The sequence below is a fragment of the Homo sapiens genome, chromosome 11 (assembly GCF_000001405.40).
Source record: "Homo sapiens chromosome 11, GRCh38.p14 Primary Assembly".
NCBI classification, from domain to species: Eukaryota; Metazoa; Chordata; class Mammalia; order Primates; family Hominidae; genus Homo; species Homo sapiens.
Window position 1 is genome coordinate 94,973,613 of NC_000011.10, and position 25,907 is coordinate 94,999,519.

Here is a 25,907-nt window from a genome sequence, read left to right on the forward strand (position 1 = left end):
AAGCGCTTCGGGGGCGGAAGCAACGACCAATCCGCAGTGGCCGAAGTGGAAGTCGGCGTAACGGCACTAAGGGGCGGGGCCGAAGCGGCCCAGGGGGCGGGCGTTTGAAATCAGTGCCTTAGAGTAGACCCTAAACCTCATTTTATACCTTCAAGAACCAATTACTTAATGTCTCTTCCGTCTTTTCCGTCCCCGACCCCCTCCCAGACTCCTTCATTCCGGTACTGCGTGGACGGAAAGCCCCGGGTAGCCGACACCACGTCCCCGGCTAGCGGGAGAGAGCGTGGAAAAGGATTACACCAAACTGTTTAAATCCAACGACTCCTGCTTCCATCCTTTCTCCTGAGCTAGAACCAACAAACCTAGAGAGTTGGGCTTCGGAAAAACTAGTGTTTTCATTTAATTGGATATGAAGAAAGAACAAATATGTACGGGGCAACCACGATCTTTACAAAGGTACCATTCCTGCAAAAATATTAACACTTCAAAGCAAAGGTTGTATTCGTAATGTTTGCTAAAATTTCTTATTTAAAAAACGTTAGTTTTAGTGGGAGGGGAGATGTCAGTATTTACGAGAGCGTTTACAATGGTGGGCCCAACTACCAGGAGCACAAGATGTAATTATTAAGATGGCTACTTAAGTGTTAAGTTTTAATAAGACAACGAAAAGTAGAAAACCCGAAAACCAAAAACCTACCAGTCGTCTCTCCTCCCTTCCATAAAAACAAATTCTGAGAATAGAGATCTTGGTTGTTTAGCTCATCTTGGTATCTCATCACATAGACCTTGACGTATAGTAGCTGCTCAATTAATATTTGTTAAACAAATGAAAATTCAACTTCCCCAACTTAGTTTAAAATGTAAGGAACTCACAAAATTGAATATTTAAATGCTTTCTTACCCCTAAATTCTTTGCAACTTTTTAATGAAGAAAGAAAAGCAGAAAAAGCCCTTTCAGTCATAGAGTTCAAGATGAAAATCCTGATTTTTCTTACCGAAGGTATCCCTCCTCCAGTCTTAACAAGTCTCACTAAAAGACGCGATCATCATGCTAGTTACTCAAACCAAAATCCCGGAGTGCCTACTTAAATTCCTTTTCATTCACTCTTCACATACGGTTCATTTACAGGTCTTAACAATTCTACTTTTAAAACTCACCCGCAATTTTATTCTACTGCCACTACCCTTGCCTTTGCCAACACCATCTCCTACCTGGATTGTAATTGCTTCCTATTATATCTTCCTGCGTCATCTTTTATCCTACAGTCAGTGTTGCATATAGCCAAGAGAGTGATCTTTTAAAATTAATAAAATGGTGTTACTATCCTGTGTACAATTTCACTGCACTTAGAATAAAAATCACATTTCTTAATGTGACCTGAGACCCCACGGAGTCTGGTTCCTGCCTACCTTCCAGACTTCACTTCCAATCAGTCACTCGCTTACGCACTAAGCTCTAGACACAGCCAAGTGGGCATTTCTGTTTTATAAAACAGGGCAAGATTCCTTCTATTTTAGGGCCTTTGCACTAGCTTTTCTCTGTTGCCTGTGCCCCAAAGTAACTGTATCACCATCCTTCATGTCTCAGGTATCACAGTGAGGTTTTCCTACCCCCACCCCTCCAACACTTGTGTTTGTACACCATCACATCACCCTGTTTCATTTTTCATACCACTAAACATTACCAGAGTCTATTCTATTCATTTTTTATTTCCATGTCTCTCAGGAGACAGCATGCGAAGGTCATTAAGAGAAAAGGATCTTCAGCCTGCCCATTTTTGTTCTAAATTCCAGTTCTGCCCTTTCCTAGCTCTATAACCTTAGGCAAGTCATTTTCCCTTTCTGTGCTTTCAGTTTCCTCACGTGTAAAATGGGCGTAATTCTAGTCCCTAACTTGTAATACTACTCTAAGGATTAAGTGAATTAATACTTGTAAAGTGCTTAGAACTGTCTCAGCAAATAGTACTTGCTAAATAAATGTTAGCTATTATTATTATTATTAATATTATTTTTATTATTATTGTCTATCTTCCTATATTAGAACATAAGTTCCAGGAAAGCAGGAACCTTGTCTCTCTTGTTCACTGGGTGTATCCTCTGCATATAGAACAGTGCCTGGCACATAATAGGTGCTGAGTAAGTATTTGTTGAATGAATGAATGAATGAATGATGCACTATGAAGTAGAGGAATGACGTAACAATGGCAAGATGGTAACACAATTATAGGAGATACCCACAGTTTTTATGTTCCAACTGTCCTCATTAGCCTGGAGTGAATCACTTCATTGATTTAACTCCCAGCCCACTAACCTAATCTTTTGGTTGCCAGTGGTGATAAATAGCCACCCTATAATTTCATTAACACCAATATACAATATAGTCAATCCACAAAATTAAAAGCTTTTGACTTAAATGAAAGTGCTAATAAGAAAATGAAACTAAAGCTTTTGACTTAAATGGTTTGAAAGTATTAAGAAAAAGAAACTTAAGTTTACTAAAATCTTGAAATTCATCTGATCAGTTAACCTAGCTGGCAAAAATCATATAACCTCCCAAGAATTCTTATGTTAAACCTGTTACCACAAAATCTAGTTTGGCCCTTAATTCTGCCTGCCAGTCCTCTTATGCTCTCCTAATTGTTTATTTTCCCCCTCTACAATAATATAATTTCCCACATTCCCCTTTCTTCAAGTCTACATGCCTCTTTCACCTCCTTTTCCCTCTGCATTCTCTTTCCTGGCAGTAGATCTTCTCAGTTCTCTGAGAAAACAGAAGCTCTTAAACAAGGACTTCTCATCTCCTTTTTTCCGCAGATCTATCGAGCTGCCTTTGGCTATTCCTGTATCCTCAGATTCTCATTATTACTGGAGATGAGGTGACCCACACTCTCCCTTGTGCTCTGGGTCCTAATTCCTCCAGGTTTCTTAGTGGCTGGCATTTTGCTATATATTTTCTCTTTCTTATGATCTATGAGGCCATCCCTTTCAGATCATTTTTATCAGCTTTTGGACATGGTATAGTATATCTTAACCTTAAAAAAGGCTCTTTCATTTTAGTATGCCAAAGGTAGCATTTAATTAAATGTGAAAGGGATGTAGTTTGGCCCTTGATTGCAAAACTTTCTATTTTTATGGCAGGAGTAGCATAGGAATTCCAGTTTAAAGCTTAAACAAAATCAACACCTAAAAGGGAAAATAGAAACCATAAAAACCTAAGAAGAAAATTTAAGAAACTATTTATAGAACCTAGAATTTGGAAAGACCTTTCAATCAAAGCAGAACACCTTAAGAGCTTTAAAAGAAATACTTTTAAAAATTCATTTATCCAACAATTAATTTTATAGCTGTAGATGCCAAAAACAAGTCAATAAATTCTAGATTCGCAAATAAATTTTGTAATGCCTATAACATATAAAGGATTACTGCTACTGCTAGTGATACACATAATATAAAAATCACAAATTACCCAATTAAAAAATGGACAAAAGATATAAGCAGGCCATTCAGAAAAAGCAATTTCAAATAGACAAGTCAATAAACATGAAAGACACTCAACCTTCTAATGAGGAAAATGAAAGTAAACTAAAAATGGATTATCACATTACAGCATCCGATTGGCAACAATTAAAAAAATTAATAACATAGTTGGATGGGATTGAGAGAAAAGGGGATCCAGTCAGACAGCGGGGGGCATTGGTCCCCCATTACCCTCACAGTAAAAGCCAAGGTGTTCACAATGGTTTCCAAAGTTTTCTATGGTCTACCCTTTCCCCTACCTCTTTGACCTCATCACTTGCTCATGCTTTTCATGGCTACCTCCTTCATATTGTTGCTTGGACACGCACACAGCTGCTCCTGCTTTAGGGCCCTCACACTAGCTATTTTCTCTGCCAAGGCTATTCTTTCCTGTCTTACTCAAGTCTTTGTTCAAATGGAGTCCAACGAACCTTGGGCATCTCTACTTAAAATTGCAACTGTTCTCCCTCTCTGTCCCCTAACATTCTGTACTCCGTATCTCCCTTCCCCTCTTTCTTCTTTTTATCTTTTAAAATTATATTATATATAATTACATGGCATTTATCATCTTCCATGACCCTATATAATTTAGTTATGTTACATTTATTGTCTCTTTCTCTACTTCTCCCATGTAGAATATAAGTTCTAAAAGGGCAGAGATCTTTGTTTTGCTCAGTAATATAGGTCAAGCATTAAAACAATGCCTGGCACCAATAGCTACCCAATAAACAGTTTCCATATGAGTGAATAAAAGAAAGAATGAATGGACGAATGAAAGAATGAATTAGTTTTAAGAGGAAAAAATTGTGTTCTGTTGTAAAAAGTTATTGCCTTAATCTATTTTATATTTTAAAGGAAAAAAGTAACTTACATTGTATTAGTCTGAAATCCCGATTTCAAATGAAGATATGATAAGACCCAGAAATATGACTTTCTTTCGGGAGAGAATCTCTAAATGAAAAAAATCATATGAGATCAGGCTTTATATGTACCATCAAAATCCTAATTAAATCAGCCCTAATCCAATCACAACTCTAATCCAACTCTCTCCATCTCTTCCAGTTGAATCACTGTCTCCAATTCTACTAAACTCTCATTTACCAAGTTATTGGCCCACAAAATGTGAACATTTTGCTTAAAAATGTTTCTTTGTGGCTTTTAAATAGGAATACGAAAAAAAAAATGCCCACATGTCAGAAATTACATTTTAAAATAAAGTAACATAAATAATGAAATCTACTTCAAATTTTTAACCTGAAAATGACACATTTTCTAATATAAAAAACTAGTGCTTTCTTTGATGTTTTGACAAGTGAGAATATAAAAATAAAGTGTCTAGCCCTCTACCAACAAAATCTTGATTTTAAATGAAGACATTCTAGGGCTTAGAGAGATTATTTCCTGGAGACAGCCTCCAAATGAAATATCATTTGCTGATGGTCCAGGCTGGGTTACTGGATAATGTCATAAGTTACTCACCTCTCATCTAATCTAATCACATAAATACCTCACCAGCTGACCAGTGTACTACTGCGAAGACAATTAAAATCAAACATATTAAAAATAGTTAAAACTAAAAAACTAAAATGTAGAAAATAGAGATAGAAAAAGACATGCCAGGCAAATTCTAATTTAAAAACCTTGATGTAGCAATGTTAGTTAGCAAAAGTATTCTTAGGTTGAATAACATTAATAGGGACAAAGAAGTGCATGTATTATATTACGAAGAAAAATCCACTAGGAAAATTACTATCGGACATGTATGCAGCTAATGACATAACTTGAGAAAATATGAAGCAAAAGTAAGAAAAAGTGACAAATCTAAAATCATGGTGGGAATTTTTTTAAGATAAATTTCTCTCAGACGAGCAGATCAAGCAAACAACAACATTGATCTACTATATAAGTTATATGTGTGTACATATATGTGTGCATTATATATGTATGCTTATTGTATTTCTATGTGCATGTAAAAAGTTCACTGTAATCAGAGCAGAATATATATTCTTTTCAATAAACATTGAATATTTACAAAAAGTAATCAAGTATAAAGCCCTCCCCAAATTTCAACAAATGCCAATGTATGCATTTCCTTTTTTATTTATTTATTTATTTTTTTGAGACAGAGTCTCACTCTGTCACCCAGGCTGGACTGCAGTGGCACAATCTTAGCTCACTGCAACCTCCTTCTCTCAGGCTCAATGGATTCTCCTGCCTCAGCCTCCCGAGTAGCTAGGATTACAGGTGCGTGCCACCATGCCTGGCTAATTTTTGTATTTTTAGTAGAGATGGAGTTTCACCATGTTGGCCAGGCTGGCCTCGAACTCCTGACCTCAAGTGATACACCTGCCTCGGCCTTCCAAAGTGCTGGGATTACAGGTGTGAGCCAGCGCACCTGGCCCAATGTGTGCATTTCTAAATGATAATAGTCTTGCCAATTTTTAAATTTTATATAAATGTTCAAAATGTTTATGTAAATGAATATGTATTCCTTTATGTTTTTGCTTTATTCCTCCCACTTAATGTGTGCTATCTGTAGCTCTGATATACTATTTAGAGTTTCATTGTATAAAAATACACACCATAACTTGTTAATTCTAGTAATTATCTTTTCGTTGTAGTGATAATTGCAAATAATGCCACAATGAACATTTCTGTAAATGTGCAAAGGTGCATGTGTGTGCATTTTTCATATATATATTTCATCAACAGGAGATGAGAGTTCTTGTTCTATAATCTCACCACACTTGATTGTCCGGCTTTTCAATTTTAGCTCATTTGGTGGGTATATAGTGATATATCATTGAGGTCTCAGTTTGCATTTCCCTGATTATTAATTCACATGTTAATTGTCCATTTGGATTTCTTCTTCTGTGAGGTATCTGTTTAAATCTTTCTATTGAATCATCTTTTCTTTATGGATTTCTATGATTTCTTAAGTTTAGGCATAGTTCTCTGTCACTTATTTGTGCTGCATATACAATTTGCCACTTCTCTGCTTCTCTTTTTGGAACCACTTTTAGAGTGGTTCAATTATCATTCTTTTCCTTTTTGCTTAATGCATGGTATTTCTTGATTATGAATGTCCCTACTTGGGAAGTCATAATGATATTCTCAGGTATTATCTTCTAAAGGTTTCATAGCTGCACATGAAATTCATTTTTGTGCGTGGCATGCTGGAGAAGGGGCCTTGAAATCCGATGGAGCAGATATTCTTACCTTGTCCCACTTTTATAAGAGTGGCTTTGCTATTCTTGGCCCTTTGGACTTTACTATAAAATTCAGGAGCCAATTGTCAAGTTCCACAAAAATACTTTTGGAATTTTAATTGTGATAATATTTAATTTACAGATTAAGAAAACATTCTTAAAAATGTAATGACATTTTTACAATACTAAGTCTTCAAATCTATTAACAGGTTATATTTTTCCATTTGTTTAGGATGTCTTTAGTTTATATTAATATGCTTCTCTAAGTACATTCATATTGTTGTCTTCATAGAAATTTTGCAAATTTTTGTTAGCATTAGTCTTGTTACTTAATGCTTAATGCTATTATAAATGGCGTCTTCCTTAAATTTTGGTTGTCTCATTGTTGCTGGTGTGTAGAAATATCATTGATTTTTATATGTAGCTATTTTAAATTCAGAGAACTTGCTAAGCTCTCTTATTAATTCAAAGGGTCTATTCAGAGATCTTTCAGATTTTGTCACATGTACAATCATGTCATCTGCCAATAGTGACAGCTTTGTTTCTTCCTTTTCTGTTTTCCTTCTTTTTTCCTTGCCTTCTTATGTTGGTTAGGACTTCCAAGATAATGTTGAATAAAAATGCTGATAGCAAGCATCCTTGTCTTTTTCCTGATCTGCAAGGGAAAACGTATAACTTTCATTATTAAGTATGATTTGGCTGAAGGTTTTGGATAGATGCACTTCATTAAGATTTTTGCCTACTATTTTTAATTTGCTGAAAGAATGATGAATTGATGAATTTTATCAAATACTTTCTCTGCATCTAATGAGATTCTCTTTAGTTTGTTAATATGTGCTATTACACTATTATTTTTTAAAGTTTCATCCTTTCATTACTGGAATAAACCCATCTAGGTCATGATGTATATATTGCTGGAATCAATTTGCTCAGATTTCAGTTAGGATTTTTCCATCTATGTTCATAAGCGAGATTGACCTATTTTCTTTTCTCATAGTATCCTTGTTGGGGATTCGTACCATAAAATGAATTGGGAAGTATTCTTTCTTTTTCTATTCTCTGAGAAAATTTATCTAAGATTGGAATATCTTTCTTGAATGTTGACTAAAATTTCTTGGTGTAGCCATCTGGGCCTCGAGTATATTTTCTGGGAAGAGTTTTACCTACTGCGTCAGTGTCCTTGAGGGTTATGGATATATTTATTGTTCTGTTTATTCTTTTGTCAGTATCACTGTTATATTTTTCTAAAAATGTATTTACTTCATTGAAATGTTAAACTGTATTGGCATAAAGTTGTTTATACTTCTTTGTTGTCTCTTTTATGTCTGCAGCATCTGTAGTGATGACTTCTTTATCTTTGTTGATATTGGTTATTTGTGCCTTCTATTTTTGTTCTTCCTCATTTTCACCAGTCTTTTAAATTTTATTAGACTTTTTTAAAAAAGCCCAACTTTTGGTTTTGTTCATCATATTTTATATTGGCTTTTTATTTCATCAGTTTCTGGTCTCTTATTATTTCTCTTCTTTTTCTTTCTTTGCTGTTACTTTTTTCTGACTTCCTCAGATGGGTGCTTAGCTCATTTAGTTTTTTTAACCTTTTTCCTTTTCTTAAATATTTATTTAAATTTATAAATTTCCCTTTTAATGCTATTTACCTGCATCCTACAAGATTTGAAATGTAGTATTTTCATTTAGTTCAAAATATTTTCTAATTTCCATTTTTTATTTTCTCATTAAAAATTTATTTAGAAATATACTTTTTATTTTATAAATTTGGGAATTTTTTAGTTATCATTTTGATATTACTAACTTCATTGTTTGTGGTCAAATAACATATTCTGACTGTTCTCAACCGTTTGACATTTGTTAAAGCTTGTTTTATGGCCACAGTTATGGTTAATTTTGTAAATTTTTTATAGAACTTGGAAAAATATATATTCTGCAGCTCGGCAGAACTGAATTTTATATGACTATTGCTTTTTAACTGCTTGATCAGTAGGGTCCAGGTTTATGCCTGTCATCCTTGGGTCTCTGTTATTCTCAAAAGTGTCTCAGCTTAGATGGTAAATGATAGGATATAATTAATGTCAAAGTTTAGAGCCACTCTTATTAAAATCTTAGATGAGTATAGAATTTCTACCAACTCAGTCAACATTCAGCATTTTGCTAGAGATCATATCTAGTTACTTAAGACTTCCCTATTTCTAAAAAAAAAAAAAAAAGAGACATGACTATTAAAAAAAGAAGAGATATAATTTTTATGATTTTTTCCTAGAAAATATTATCTACGTGGAAAATTCTAGAATTAATGGCCAAGCTAATAGTACTAATAGGAAATAAGAGGTACAAGGTTTGAAAAGGGATGTAAGATCAATAAATAATAAGAAAACTTAATAGAAAAAAATTTCCATGTACAGTACACTCAAAAAATTATAAAGTTCCTAAGGTTTTATCTAAGAAAACAGATTCATTATCTTTTTGATGCAAATCTGAAGCTTCATTGATATACATGCAACAAGATCTGAATAAATGTATAAATATACCAGTTAATTGGTGGGAATGATCAATGCAGGAGCTATGAAAATACACCTCTAATTTTCCTTTAATTTCAATGCATTCCCAATTTAAATTAACAGTATTTGACAGAACCTGACAGATTTATTCTAAAATGAATACTGAAGTTTTACTCTATAAATATACCCAAGATAATTTTGAAAAAAGTTGAATAAGTACATGGAGACTTGCCTTACCAATTATCCTAAGTATAAAGCTTTAGTAATTAAAACAATCTAACATTGGCATAGAAATGTACAAATAAATAAATGGACCAGATGAAGAGTTTAGAAAGACATCTATCCTTACATTGTAACTTAGCATATGTGAGAAAAGGATTCCAACTGAATGGGGAAAATGGTGGCAAACAACTGGATTTCTTAAAAAAAAAAAAAAGTTCTGTTTCTTACAATAACACACAGTATTCTAAATAGGCAAAACAAATAAAAGTGAAAAGCAAAGAAAACAATGACAAGAAAATATGATCTTTTTGACCCCCAAAGAATACATGGATTACTTAAATAGTACACAAAGGCACAAATCATAATGGAAAAGATCAATAAATTTGACTACATTTAATTTTTTCAAATATCAAAAAAACATAAACAGTAAATGGAGGTGGTGTGCTGAGATAAGTTATTTGCAACAATACAATAGACATAAAATTATCCCAAACATTTAAAGAACTTTTAAAAATCACTAGAAAAAGAAAGCAATTTAACTGGAAAAAATCGGCAAAAGGTATAACTGGTAATTCAGAAAACCGAAACCCACAAAAGAAATAAATCAGTGAAAAATTACTTGACTTCACCAGTAAACAAGTCACACAATAATAACAACAACAACAACAACTACAATAATAAAATAAAAGGAGATAAATCATTTTACCAAATTGCCAACAACTGAAAAGTTGACATTATCAAATGCACCTGGAGGTGTGGAGAAACAGAAACTCCTATTAGTACATAGGTTTATTAGGATAGCCACTAGGTAGAGCAATTTGACATTGCCTAGTAAAATTAAAATGTTGTTTCTTTATCATTTAGAAATGATAATTCAAAGTATCTACCCTAGATAAATTGTCACATATAAGAAAGAGAACACACACAGCACTGAAAGTAATAGGAAACACTGGAAGTAATGTAAATACCCACCAATAGGAAAGTGCAATAATAAAATATATTTTTATAACAGACCATATATAGTGTATGTATGTGTATGTATGTATATATACATATGTGTACCTATGCATATGTGCGTGTATGTATATATGAATATATCTTGAAACTGTTAATGTTGAATTTAAAAATTGCAGAAAATGAGGCCAGGCACAGTGGCTCATGCCTGTAACCCCAGCACTTTGGGAGTCTGAAGCTGGCAGATTGCTTGAGCTCAGGAGTTTGAGACCAGCCTGGGCAACATGGCAAATCCCTGTCTCTACAAAAAATAGAAAAATTAACTGGGCATGGTAGCCTGCGCCTATGGTCCAAACTACTTAAGAGGCTGAGGTGGGAGGATGGCTTGAGCCTTGGAGAGGGAGGCTGCAGTGAGCCAAGACTGCACCACTGCAGTCCACCCTGGGCAACAGAACCAGTCCCTTTCTCATAATAAATGAATAAAAATAAAAATTGTAGAAAATGGGCATATTTAGCCTAAAATTATTTATATGAAATAAAAATAGCAGGCCAGGCATGGTGGCTCACACCTCTCATCCCAGCACTTTGGGAAGCCGAGGAGGGCAGATCACCTGAGGTCAGGAGTTCGAGACCACCCTAACCAACATGGTGAAACCCCATCTCTACTAAAAAAAAAAAAAAAAAAAAAAAATTAGCCAGGCTTGGTGGCAGGCACCTGTAATCCCAGCTACTTGGGAGGCTGAGGCAGGAGAATCACTTGAACCCGGGAGGTGGAGGTTGCAGTGATCCGAGATCGTGCCATTGCACTCCAGCCTGGGCAACACAGCAAGACTCCGTCTCAAAAAAAAAATAGCAGATACACAAAACAGTATTATTGATGGACACCCAAACATGGACAGTGTAGCCTATTCATGACTGTAGTTGCTTATAGGCAGGGGGAGAGAGAACAGGATTTAAGATTCAGATCAGAGAAGGAATCCCATTTCATCTGAAATATTTATTTATTTCTACTTAAAAATACTTGTAGCAGGAGCAAGATTTTTAATGGATATCTGTTTTTACTACTTTATGCAGCATTACACTGCCAGGGTAATTAGGCACGAGAAAGAAGACATTCAGACTGAAAAGGAAGAACTAAAACTATCTTTATTGACAGATTGCATGATCTTATATATAGAAAGTCCTAGGTAGCTTGCTAAAAACCACTAAAACTAAAAACGAAGTCCAGCAAGGTTGCAGGATACAAGATCAATATACATAAATTGATTTCTGTGCATTAGTAGTGAACAATGTGAAAACGAAATTTAGAAAACAGTTCCATTCACAATAGTGTCAAAAAGATCAAAATGCTTAGGAATAAATTTAACAAAAGAAGTGCAAGACATATACTGGGAACTAGAAAATATTGTTAAGCTAAATGGAAAGACATTCCATGTCAATGGATCAGAAAACTTAATATTATTAAGATGGTAATGCTCTACAAATTGATCTCCAGATTGATGCAATCCTACCATCATTCCTACTGGCTTTTTTCCCCCAGAAATTAAAAATCGGTCCTAAAATTCATATAGAAATATAAAGGAACCAGTATAGCCAAAACAATCTTGAAAAAAAAGAAAAGAATTTGGAGGGCTCACACTTTTCTATTTCAGACCTTACTACAGAGCTCTAATAGACATTGCTAATTGCTATAAGGATAAACGGTTCAATGGAATAGAATTGAAAGTCCAAAATAAACCCTTAGGTTTATGGTTAACTGATTTTCAACAAAAGTTTCAAGACAGTCAATGGAGAAAGAAAACAAATGGTGCTGGAACAACTCGATATCCACATACAAAAGAATGAACTTGGATTCCTACCTCACAGCATACACAAAAATTAAGATTGATTGTGAGCCTGAATGTGAGCTAAAACTATAAAACACCTAGAAGAAAACAGGAAAAATCTTTATGACATTGAGCTGGGCAATAACTTCTTAGACACAAAGCCAAAAGCACAAGCAACAACAAAAATTGATAAGACGGGCTTCATCAAAATTCAATTCTTGTGCACTTCGAAAGACATAGTCAAGAAAGTGAAAAGAACACCTGCAGACCTGGAGACCACATTTTCAAATCATATATCCAGTAAAGGACTTGCAACACAGTAATAAGAAAACAAAGAATAAGCAAAGGATTTGAATAGAAATTTCTCCAAATATATATATGAATGGCCAATAAGCTTATGAAAAGATGTGCAATATCATGAGTCATTAAGGAAAGGCAAATGAAAATCACAATGAGGCCAGCCTTGGTGGCTCGCACCTGTAATCCCAACACTTTGGGAGGCCAAGGTGAGAGGATTGCTTGAGCCCAGAAGTTCAAGACCAGCCTGGGCAACATAGTGAGACCCTGTCTCTACCAAAAATTTAAAAAAAAAATTAGCCAGGCATGGTGATGTGCACCTGTTAGTGCCAGCTACTTGGGAGGCTGAGGCAGGGGGATTACCTGAGCCTGGAAGGTCGAGGCTGCAGTAAGCTGTGATTATGCCACTGCACTCCAACCTGGGCAACAGAGTGAGACCCTGTCTTAAAAAACAAAAAATTAAAAACCACAAAAATTACGACTTTTTACCTGCTAGAATTGCTGTAATGAAAAAGACAATAACAAGTATTGATGTGGATGTTGAGAAATTGGAACCCTCATATATTGCTGGTTATAAATGTTACATTTACTTTGAAAAACTGTGTAGCAATTTCTTAAAACGTTAAACATGGAGTTATCACATGGCTCAGCAATTATACTCCTACGTATCTACCCAAGATAAATAAAAACACGTTCACACATAAACTTGTACATGAATGTTCATAACAGTATTATTCGTAATAGTCCCAAAATGAAAACAACCCAATTGTCCATCAAATGATGAATGGATAAGTAAAATGCAGTATATCCATACCATAGATTATGATTTGGTCATAAGAAATAAAATACTGATATATACTACAACATGGTTGAACCTCAAAAACGTGGAGTAAAAGAAGCTGGACACAAAATATTACCTATTTTATTATTCCATTTATATTAAATGTCCAGAGTGGGCAAATCTGTAGAGATAGAAGGTAGATTAGTGGTTGCCTGGAGTTGGGGGTGGAAATGAGCTGTGAATGCAAATGGAACAAGGTTTGATTTTGAAGTGATAGAAGTATTCTAAAATTAGGTTTTGGTGATGGTCACACAGCATTGTAAATATACAAAAAATCATTGAAGTGTACACTTAAAATTGATGAATTTTGTGTTGTGTAAATTATATCTCAATAAAGTTGTTTAAAAACTACTTGAAGCAAATTTGATAAAATATTAAGGTTTCAGTTCTGGCTGGTTGGAATGCAGGTTTTTGTTTCTCAAAACAAAAACTCGGACACCACAAATTTGGGCCCCAATATCAAAGGAGATAAACATATAAATGTAGAGTCTTTTCATTATAGTCTTATCTTCAACTACTGACAGGTGCCCCCATCTTCAAAGGAAATGAATAGGTTCCTGTAGGAGCACTCTCAGTGATGCCTACCAGTCATACATAGCAAACGCAACTCTTCAGTGCCTGACTCAAATACAAGCCAAGAATAACTAGACATACGAGGAAAACGTTTAACATGAAAGACAGAAACAAAGACATTGTGGAAGGGCAAACTCAGAGGAAACAGACACAATGTAGAGAGCAAATAAAACTTAAAAATTCTTATAATACTTAGAGAAGAGAAAATCTGCAGCCATGGAAAATTTCAGAAATATATGATGAAAGGAATATTCAGAGAACAAAAAAAATTCCTGGAAATTAAAAATAATTGCCAGAAGGTTTGGAAAATAGTAACAAAAGAAAAAGCATTAGGAAATGGAGAGTAAAGAAAATTAGAGGATCAATCAAGAGGTTGCTGTCTTAACAGTATTTGCTGTCTACTGGTATTTCCAGAGAAGGAGAAAACTGAAAATATAGAAAGGAATGCCAAAGGAATAATGTGAGGCAATTTCACAGCAAGGAACAACATGAGTTTCTATATTGAAAATTCTAGCACAATGATTGACAAAGAAGACTTACCAATTATATCTTAATGAAATCTTAGAAAACAAGGAACAGAAGAATATGCTAATACTGTTTAGAGAGTAAAGACAGATTACAAAAAGGAACAGAAAACAGGTTTTGGATTTTTGGAAGGTAGAATTCAGCAGAACAATGTCTTGAAAATCCTGAAAGAAAAGCATGAGGATAGAACAAAGACATTTTCAGACTCAGACATGCATACTTTGGGAGAGAGTTGTGATATTTGTGGCCATCAAATAACTTTAAATTCCCTTTTTATTTTTCGGTAAACCTCCAACTTTATGACCCCTGCCTCATCAAGGTCAAAGCCGGAACTCAATTATCCAGCACCTATTGCAGTGAAGACATAGAGATATGACCTAGACTCTTCCAATCAGACATTCCCATGGAGGACTATAATGTAAAGAAATATGAGGAAGTAGATTTCATGAAGGATCTGTTCCTGGAGAAGGGCAGTGAGAGACAGTGACCTTTCAGAGGCAGCAGTAGCTTAGACTCTAATTGGAAATGTCCCTTGCCCAGAGTCTTTGGTGTCTTTGACCAGAGGATATATAGGAATATCTAACTATTGTTTGTTGGGTAATCTGGATATTGTTCCTGGATACACAGGCTCCAATCCCTAGTCTCTGGTCCTGCTGAAGATTCTGTGAGCTACTTAATAATCTCTAATGAAGCTTCTAAGGATGCTTCTGGTAGATATGCTTTACCAACACAAGGGAGTAAACCAGGAAGGAGACTTGAGATGGGGGGAATCAGGATCTAACATAATAGAGAGGGAAAGGGAACCCCCAGGATTACAATGACTAGAAACCTCAAGATGCACGTCATGCAACAACCTGAAGACTCATCAGTCTAGATTTAAGTAAGCATCTGAGGGCTCCAGTAAGAATATTTCTGAGAAAAGAAATCTGATTCAGTACCAGATGTGTTTTATGCATTTAGAAGAGATTTACCTTTCTGGAAATGAATCTGGGAATGAATTAATATAAAGTGTAAAGCCAAGCAAATGAAAGAATGAGACAGTTATTAACTGCAGAATAAAGAAAAATTTATACATGTATATAGAATTCACTTTAAGCCAAAGGGGATTTTTTTAAAAAGCTAAAAAGGTTATTGAGTAGTTTACAGAATCTCTGGGAGAGTCCATGTAAGTCCAAACTTACATGCTACTCAAGACATGTATTTAAAATGTATTGACAGTCCAAAGAAGCATATATTAGATAATTCCTTAAAACTCAATGGAGTGGTGTGTCCTTGTAGATGGATTCAGCAGGAAGACTTCTGGCTCCTGCCTCTCTCTGCTGCCAGATACCACTGTTACTGCTGCAGTATCCATGCAACAGATGAAAATAAAGATGATTTGAATGAGGTTAATAATCCCATGTTCAATTTATTATATGTCAGAATGAAATAATAATGCTGCACTTAAGATGCTGGATTTAAAGGCCAAGTCCCAAACTTTGGGTTTTATGTCACAGTTTATGCTGTCCATGCCTGATACTTGCTGCCGTGTGTCTTTCTCCTTTATATCCACACTCCTCTAGATGTTCATAAAAAGAAGTCCACACCAAATATTGGCATTTGTAGGCACAAAAGGTACAGGAAAAGTTGCCCTTTAACCTTCTTTCTCTCTCTCTCTCTCTTTCTTTTTTTTTTTTTTTTTTGACAGAGTTTCACTCTTCTTGCCCAGGCTGGAGTGCAGTGGCGTGATCTCAGCTCACTGCAACCTCCGCCAGGTTGAACCTCCCAGGTTCAAGTGATTCTTCTGCCTCAGCCTCCCAAGTAGCTGGGATTACAGGCCACCACCACGTCCAGCTAATTTTTGTATTTTAAGTAGAGACAGGGTTTCACCATGTTGGCCAGACTGGTCTTGAACTCCTCACCTCAGGTGTCCCACCCACCTCGGCCTCCCAAAGTGCTGGGATTACAGGCGTGAGCCACCATGCCCAGCCTTACCTTCCTTTTCTCATGCAGCTTATGAGGAAAGGTCTGTCAAAGCTTTTGGGTCAGAGACATGCAGATATTTTGGAGAGAGAAGCAAGCACATCTCATGGAAGAGACTTATTCCCTTAAGGCAAGTGCCCATTAGAGATGAAAGCTGCTTGTCAAGTAAGACACATTCTGGAGAGCTGCCACCTCAACAGCTTGTATTAAGCACCAAATAAATGTAGCACTCATGGAGTATAGAAGATAGAATTCTCACCAAGGTCTGAGGTTGGTATAGAAGGAACCCTGATGTAGGAGAGCCTCAGATTGGTCTGGAAGGCAGAGTTTATAACTTAGAAAAGAGAAGGAAGAGATAAGTGAAGCAAGGGAAGAAAAGCATAGAGTCAAGGACAGTGATTAGGACCATTTGACTGGAACTACGTTTGTATAAGAAAATTGAGAGAGAAATTTGGGAAACAAGAAGCAATAAAGATGTGGTTTAAACACAATCATTTACTTTGTTCCCTTTCCAAACCTCACTAAAGTGACAGTAACAGGATTTTTGTTTTAAGAAATGAACTTACAAAGACAGAAAATGGTAAAGGAAAACAGGTAGTGGCCAGTTTTGGAAATTGGAAAGCAGATGGACAAGTGTAAACTGATTTATCAAACACTGGAAAGTTGAGTCCTAAATTGGCAATGAGGAAAGCCAAGAAGCAACACAATTGTCTCTACAGAACCCAAAAGGCTTAGGATGTCATGGCATTAGGTACCTCTGGGAGTGACAGTTAAAATGAGGCTAAGGAGAATTTGTTGAAATCTGTCTAACAAAACAGAGCCCTAGGTTCCCACCCTCCTCTAAGCAGCTGGATAAACTGCCCCTCTTACACCCTGGCAGAAGATTGAGCTTCATTTTTTCTAGAGTGAGGAAAAAGGTGGCCTCTGGACTGGGAATTTCCAGATACTTTTGAGAGTGTGGTTGTCATAGGGAAAATAAGTTGATAAAGTGAACTGTACAAGTAGGGTACTTTTAGAAATGTGTAGCCTCTTTTGCCATTTGGGAGGGAAGTCAGACCTGTACTCTCCAGGAGAAAGACTGAAGCATCTTTTGCATTGAATATGACCAGCTCTAGAAATATCAGTGTTAGGAGTTCACCTAGGAAACAGCCCAGTTAGAATATCATTCAGGGAAGCATAATCACTAAAACAATTCATGTACCCTGAGCTTCTAATCTGCCTTTTTTGTGCTGTACTTTTTTATATAAGGCAATTACTAAAGGCTACCAGACATGTGAGGAAAGCCTTAAATATGAAAGAGACCAAAGCAAAAAAAAGAAAGAAAGATAAAAAGGACAAAAGTCAATTTCAAAGAAACAGACCATGCAGGGAGAAAAACAAAACAGAATTTCAAAAACCATTGAGATTTTAGTATTTCTAGAGAGGTAAAAGAAGAAATGCTCCCATGAAGCAAGAATAAGACAATAAGAAAGAAAAGCAATGTACATACATGCAGGAACTCTCAGGTAACAGAAATGATCACTGGAAATTAAAAATTTGATTGGAGAAATGAAAAAGACAAAGAGAAAGGAAGTTTAGAGATAAAGATGAAGAAATTTTTTAGAAGATAAAATATAGTGATAAAGGAATAGAAAACTTGGGGGAGGGGAAAACAGGTGAACATTAGAGGTCTAATCCATGAAAGGTCCAATATCTAAATAAGAGGAGTTAATACACAGACGAAAAGGAGTAGAGGAAATCAAAGAAAGAACTAAAAAAAAAAAAATCCTAAAATTAAAGAACTTCATTTTTGAGATGGATAAAATGTAAGAATATGGGTTCAAAAAAAGCTTCTATAAACGTTGATAGAGAGACAAACAACCTAAAATAAACAACACACATAATGAACAGGTCATCTGTAAAGAACCAAGAATCATATTCATATCCTCTTCATACTCATGCTCACACCAATACCCACACAATAATTTCAAAAGTTAATAACCCCCCCTCTCCGAAATACAGAATTAAAGGTATAATTAAAATCAGAATTAAAGGTACAATTAGCATATACAAAGGAAAAAACTATAGGATAATATTTATCTCCATCTAGATGAAGAAGTATTATAACTTTCTAAACATGAAAAACATGAAAAATATTACAAAGGAAAATAAAATATTGTAAGTCAAAAACATTTTTGTTAAATAAATTTAAAGAAATACAAGTTAAATGACAAACTGGCAAAAAAAACTATTAACATATCTAACAAAAGGGTTTAATATGTAAAATATTCATGTAATTAATATGTAAAATGTTTATATAAGTAGGTAAGAAAACACCCTGGGACCCTATTAGAAAAAAACAGGCAAAGGATATGAACCAATACATAAGATGAAATCCAAAAGACTAATATTTATGAAAAAAATCAAAATCAACCTTAGTCGTTGTCCAAGAAATGTAAATTAAAACTTGATCTAACTTTTTAACTTACCAAAATTAGTAAAATATATATTTTTTCAAAGTAAATTTGATCAGTGTTCAGGATGTAAAATATATTTTTTCTTTAAAGTTTTGGCAACGTGTATTAAAGATCTTAAAATATTTAAATTCTATAATGTAATTTCATTTATAAGTATCTAATCTAAGAAATTTCATTCATTCAACCAATATTTTACGGGATGTACTGTTTTAGATACTGAAATACGGACTACATATTTAAGTAAAAGTGATTAGTAATAATCGTGCAAAAGTAAAAACAAAATAGCTGTCCAATAATACAGGATAAGTTTAATCACTTGTCTACACAGAGTAGAATTTTTTCAGTTATCAAATATATTATGCTTATAAATTATTTTAAATAAGTAGTAGATTTTCTAACTGAGAAAAAAATTTGATTAAACATAGCATTTAGATATTGACTGTCAGAAGAAACAAGGGCTGATGTCTGAGGCATTTTGTTAACAATCCCCCACTTGAAGTAATAGATTTGAAATACATATGCAGCAAGAAAGACAAACAGTTTGGGCAAGGGCTGCAGTGAAAGGGACTGTTAAACTTACTCAGCTTCACTTCTTAACTTGCCCAGTTTAACACCCCCCAACACACACACACAGCAAGAAGCTTAGGAGGCATTATTTCTAAAAGACCCGAAGAAAGACTTTCTAATTTCCAGAAATCCATTAATTTTAAGGGATCAAGTATTATTTTTTAATTATTCTGATAAGAAAATACTTTTCTTTGGTTGTCAGAACTGTCAAGTTTTCTTAGATGACGAATTCTGCCTTATTGTGATTACTGTGGGTAAGGGTAAAATGGAAGAGTATCAAGTGACAGTGTAATTATTCTCTACTGGTAGCTATGGTTCCAGTTGAAAGAAGCAAGTAGTCTCACAACAAAAGCAACCATTGAAGACTCATAGAGAAGTGACACATTTGGCTAGAACACTGAAGGATCTCTCCATCATTGTACCTGGCAAATTCTAAGCAGTTTTTTTTTTTTTTTTGGAGCGCAGTCACACTTACAAATTGTAGTATTTTCTTTTGATATGCAACATCTGAAGACTATATGTATAAGGAGACATTGCATCATTCTTCCTAGAATCCTTAGAAATGTAGAAAAGAAGTAACGCAGTTTATAAAACAGATACAAAGTGCTCAACCCAAAGCTTATTTTACTTGTATATTCAAAAAAATATATAGGTTTGTGTGATTTTCATAGTCAGCATTTTGTTACTTCTTGAGGGAAAGACCCTCAGCATGATATTTAAGTTTCTGATATTTAATTATCCTTCTAAATTGTCTCACTTTTCTCTTTTCTTTTCTTTAGAGCAAGTTTTCTAATAGAAAGAATGAAATATTTTATTTTATATTCCAAAAATATAAAGAATTTATAATAAAATCATTGTAGAATAATTTTTAAGATTAAAAAATTGGGATGAGATTGGGAGACTATCATATGATACAGGTAATCTTGTCACTTGTACATCCTCAGTGTCTCGCTTGAGTAGTGACAGCTTTAAGTAGGAGAGGAAGACAAGCTGGATTCTTGGGTTCTTCTATAAGGAAGATAAAGAGAACACACCCTGGGGTGTCTAGATGTCCTTGGGGCCTCATGGAAGACTATCATTGGATCCTCTGACAGGCACTGACCATATGTCTGGGAAAAGGGAGATGTAATAGTCAGTGGTGACTACGATAACACATTATTGCCCTTGATAGAAATAAAAGACATATAAAGGAGTAACTTAGTTTCAGGAGAAAGATCATCAATTTGTATTAAACCAGTTGACTTTCAGGGGCTCACTGGGCCATCTAAGTTGGAGAAGGAGAGCAGAAGCTTAGGAGAGAGTCAGTTATTGGAGAAAGTTATGACAATAAATAACATGTTTAAAGGGAAACAGCATGGTACTAACAGAAACCCTGAATATAAATAGGAAATTTTAAGAGAGAAAGAAAGTTAAGAGGGATAAAAATTGAACTTTGAGATGTCTGCATGTGTGTGGTAGAAGAGGAGGTAGAACCCAGAAGAAAGAAAAGAACCAGTGTTAAAAGAAGTATCAGTGCCCTGGAGGTTGTAGGAGTTTTAGGAGGAAGGGGGAGGTGTTCTGTGAACCAGTGATGTTCTGTGAACCAGATGTTCACAGAACCACTGGTTCTGTGAATCAGTGAAGTGTAACCCCTGGAGCAGAATTTGGGAGGCAGTTTGATGATTTATGGAGAACAATGTCAGTAGAAAGGTGGGGGCAGGACCTGGGGTTGGGTGGGAGAGAGAGAGAGAGGAGCCTGAGAGGAGGGAGAGAGGGAGTAAGGACAGTAGCTTAAATTAGGAAAGAGATTGATGACTGATGATTTAATAAAGAGAAAAATAACTGATTATTTAATTCAACATAGTCCTGGACCAAGTGGGAAATGTTGATTTAAGGAGTTCAAATGGAGAAATTAGCCCTAGAAAGCAGTGTTTTCTCCTGAGAGGACGGAGAACAGTGAGAAACATGGGGTGTAATCAATAGGTGACAGAGGGAAGTGTGTGCCAACTCATTTAATTAATAAAAATGTTTTGGGTGCCTACAATATATAAGAAAACCAATATTCTTGGAAAACACAATAGTGAACAAGACACAGATTATGTTCTCAATACTTTTATATGGAAGATAAGTCAAGGATAGACATAATTGTAGAGACTGAAAACACAAGCTATTGAGTTAGTTATAAATTTCTCTATACCTTGGTTTCTTCCTTCATAAAATTGGGATAATGATAGTACCAACTTCATAGATTAGTTGTGAGTTTTGAATAGGATACTATAAAGTGCTTAATAAGGGGTCTGTCTAAATGAAGTGCTAAATAAAAGTGACACTGTTCACATTATATAAGGTAGAAGTGATAAGTGGCAAGAGAACTACAGGATATGAAAGAAGATGTGCTGTTTTGTTGGGACAGTAAAGGAAGATGAACAGTCAAGTTCATCTACTTGGGAAGGAGTGGAACTTAAGAACTGACGAAGAAGGGAAAGTTTGGGAGAGAGAATGTGGGAGGGGAGAAACAGTTTGAAGTTGAATAATAGCATAAAGTCAAAACTCAGGAAGATGTCAAGACATCAGTAAAATAGGCACTCAGTTAAAAACTGCCCCTAGTTTAAAAAATCTGTTTCGAGCATCCCAATCTTTTTTGAGCTTCCCTTTCCTAGTGTCCTAACAGGACTATTTGACTAAATAGAGAAATCTAGCCCACGAACCTCCCTCAAGTTCTTATTTCCTTTTTTATCCAGGATAGATATAATGGTTCATTCTCCATTCAACCCATCAACAACCTTATCCCTTTCTCACTGAGGTATACTTGCCTGGAAAAATCCTAACCCTGATGGAACCTTACTATCTGCTTTCTTCATCTCTTTTGAATGGCCCTTCTCTATGGGGAAAATTCCTGTCATGCTAGATTGGTCCATGTAGGGCTGATACCAGTTGTGCGAGGGATAGGGGACACATACTGCAAAGTCACACGGTATGAGTTAAGGAAACACATCATCTTTATTCTTTGTTAGTTCCGTACCTTTCCTCTTTCTTTCCCTTAACTCTAATTTGCCTTTATCACTTGAATGTATAGTTTATTTTCAGTCGTTCTTTCTTTTCCTTTTAATACAATGAAATATGCCTCTTAGTTGTCTTTAACGCTTTTCCTCCTAAACCCTATTTTTAAATGAACATACAGAAATTTGTGAAAATCATCATACCTTGATGAGTTAACACAATGAGTTATTCTGATGGGTATGAAACCAGCACCCAGGTTCTGAACAGATTAACTTTACTCAAGAGATCCCCTCAAGCCCCCCTACACAACAACCCCTCTTTTCCCAAGGTAGCCACTACTCTGACTTCAAACATAGATTACTACACTTGATCTTAGCCAAAAGGCCAAGAAGCAATTCAAACATAGATTACTTTGCCTCCTTTTCATCTTTATATAAATGCAATTGTGTAATAGGTATTCTTCTGAGTCTTGATAATGTTACTCAATATTGATCTTTATAAAACTGCATTTTCATGTGGCTTTGGTTTATCTTCATTGCTATATGGTATTCTGTTGTGTGAATATACTGCAGTGTACTTATTCATTCTATTGCTGATGGACATTTGGGTTGTTTAAGTGTTTGGCTACCAGAAACAATGTTGTTATGAACATTACTGGATGTGACTTTCAGCTCACAACCATACACATTTCCTAGGCATGTGGAACAGTTGGATCACAGAACATATGTATGTTCAGTTTTAGAAGAAACTGTCCAAATAGTTTTCCAAAGTGATTATAGTGCTTCATATTCTCTGTAGTAGGGTATGAAAATTCCCACTGTTCCACATCCACACCTCCACTTGAATTATCAATCTTATAAAATTTTAGCCTCTCTTTGTAATATTATTATTCTATTCTGGTATTTAATTTCTGGATGCCTAATATTTTTTCCAAATATCAATTTTTAATCTCTGTGTATTCTTTCTTTTAGATTTTGTTCTAAACACTGAGGACATTCTCTGCTACATTTGGGTCGTACCCCCAGGTCTGAGTAATTCAATAGACTTAAGAAGACAGAGCCCAGCAGCAACCGAAACATAACAGAGTTGCAGGATCAGCTAACGTCAATGCCTGGGCAAAGCTGCTGCCCAGAGTGGAATCTCACTAGTGAATAAACAAGCCCAAGAAAGATTATCATCTCATTTGCAAAAAAAAAAGTACGCTGGTAGATCCTGCTACCTCATAGATAACACCAGTCAAATTTTTTTTTAAAGTAGCATTTTCCTACATTGTCAACTATCTAGAACATACCTAAAAACTAAGAGTTTACTGCTTATTAAATGGAAACTATGAAGTCTAAGGCCAACTGTGCCCAGAATCCAAATTGTAACATAATGATATTTCATCCAACCAAAGAAGAGTTTAATGATTTTGATAAATATATTGCTTACATGGAATCCCAAGGTGCACACAGAGCTGGCTTGGCTAAGATAATTCCACCCAAAGAATGGAAAGCCAGAGAGACCTATGATAATATCAGTGAAATCTTAATAGCCACTCCCCTCCAGCAGGTGGCCTCTGGGCGGGCAGGGGTGTTTACTCAATACCATAAAAAAAAGAAAGCCATGACTGTGGGGGAGTATCGCCATTTGGCAAACAGTAAAAAATATCAGACTCCACCACACCAGAATTTCGAAGATTTGGAGCGAAAATACTGGAAGAACCGCATCTATAATTCACCGATTTATGGTGCTGACATCAGTGGCTCCTTGTTTGATGAAAACACTAAACAATGGAATCTTGGGCACCTGGGAACAATTCAGGACCTGCTGGAAAAGGAATGTGGGGTTGTCATAGAAGGCGTCAATACACCCTACTTGTACTTTGGCATGTGGAAAACCACGTTTGCTTGGCATACAGAGGACATGGACCTTTACAGCATCAACTACCTGCACCTTGGGGAGCCCAAAACTTGGTATGTGGTGCCCCCAGAACATGGCCAGCGCCTGGAACGCCTGGCCAGGGAGCTCTTCCCAGGCAGTTCCCGGGGTTGTGGGGCCTTCCTGCGGCACAAGGTGGCCCTCATCTCGCCTACAGTTCTCAAGGAAAATGGGATTCCCTTCAATCGCATAACTCAGGAGGCTGGAGAGTTCATGGTGACCTTTCCCTATGGCTACCATGCTGGCTTCAACCATGGTTTCAACTGCGCAGAGGCCATCAATTTTGCCACTCCGCGATGGATTGATTATGGCAAAATGGCCTCCCAGTGTAGCTGTGGGGAGGCAAGGGTGACCTTTTCCATGGATGCCTTCGTGCGCATCCTGCAACCTGAACGCTATGACCTGTGGAAACGTGGGCAAGACCGGGCAGTTGTGGACCACATGGAGCCCAGGGTACCAGCCAGCCAAGAGCTGAGCACCCAGAAGGAAGTCCAGTTACCCAGGAGAGCAGCGCTGGGCCTGAGACAACTCCCTTCCCACTGGGCCCGGCATTCCCCTTGGCCTATGGCTGCCCGCAGTGGGACACGGTGCCACACCCTTGTGTGCTCTTCACTCCCACGCCGATCTGCAGTTAGTGGCACTGCTACGCAGCCCCGGGCTGCTGCTGTCCACAGCTCTAAGAAGCCCAGCTCAACTCCATCATCCACCCCTGGTCCATCTGCACAGATTATCCACCCGTCAAATGGCAGACGTGGTCGTGGTCGCCCTCCTCAGAAACTGAGAGCTCAGGAGCTGACCCTCCAGACTCCAGCCAAGAGGCCCCTCTTGGCGGGCACAACATGCACAGCTTCGGGCCCAGAACCTGAGCCCCTACCTGAGGATGGGGCTTTGATGGACAAGCCTGTACCACTGAGCCCAGGGCTCCAGCATCCTGTCAAGGCTTCTGGGTGCAGCTGGGCCCCTGTGCCCTAAGTCCACGGGCTGTCTTTATATCCCACTGCCCTGCTGTGTGACAGTTTGATGAAACTGGTTACATTTACATCCCAAAACTTTGGTTGAGTTTGCAGGACTCTAGGCATGCATGAAAGAGCCCCCCTGGTGATGCCCTTGGATGCTGCCAAGTCCATGGTAGTTTTCAATTTTGCCATACTTTTGTTCTTCCTACCGGACCCTGGAATGTCTTTGGATATTGCTAAAATCTATTTCTGCAGCTGAGGTTTTATCCACTGGACACATTTGTGTGTGAGAACTAGGTCTTGTTGAGGTTAGCGTAACCTGGTATATGCAACTACCATCCTCTGGGCCAACTGTGGAAGCTGCTGCACTTGTGAAGAATCCTGAGCTTTGATTCCTCTTCAGTCTACGCATTTCTCTCTTCCCCTCCCTCACCCCCTTTTTCTTATAAAACTAGGTTCTTTATACAGATAAGGTCAGTAGAGTTCCAGAATAAAAGATATGACTTTTCTGAGTTATTTATGTACTTAAAATATGTTGTCACAGTATTTGTTCCCAAATATATTAAAGGTAACCAAAATGTTAAAATCTGA

At 36.4% G+C, this 25,907-nt stretch overlaps 1 protein-coding gene and 1 pseudogene across 1 annotated transcript, besides 1 other annotated feature; both read left to right on the forward strand.

Moving 5' to 3' along the window:
* Positions 97–25,907, forward strand: KDM4D (lysine demethylase 4D). The gene is made up of 3 exons (NM_018039.3): positions 97–456; positions 2,042–2,136; positions 23,412–25,907. Exon 3 carries the CDS (start codon positions 23,761–23,763, stop codon positions 25,330–25,332), a length of 1,572 nt encoding a protein of 523 aa, NP_060509.2. The 5' UTR covers positions 97–456; positions 2,042–2,136; positions 23,412–23,760; the 3' UTR covers positions 25,333–25,907.
* Positions 201–350: an enhancer, noted in NCBI's record as "active region_5407". NCBI's record gives its function as "activates an Ori minimal core promoter by ATAC-STARR-seq in GM12878 lymphoblastoid cells {active_cell/tissue: GM12878}" and the evidence as "EXISTENCE:reporter gene assay evidence [ECO:0000049][PMID:35858748]".
* On the forward strand, positions 19,302–19,891 carry LOC100422440 (general transcription factor IIE subunit 2 pseudogene; annotated as a pseudogene).

Bases quoted from the DNA above. Each gene is read 5' to 3' on its own strand.
- KDM4D (NM_018039.3), top strand. From the start codon at position 23,761: ATGGAAACTATGAAGTCTAAGGCCAACTGTGCCCAGAATCCAAATTGT.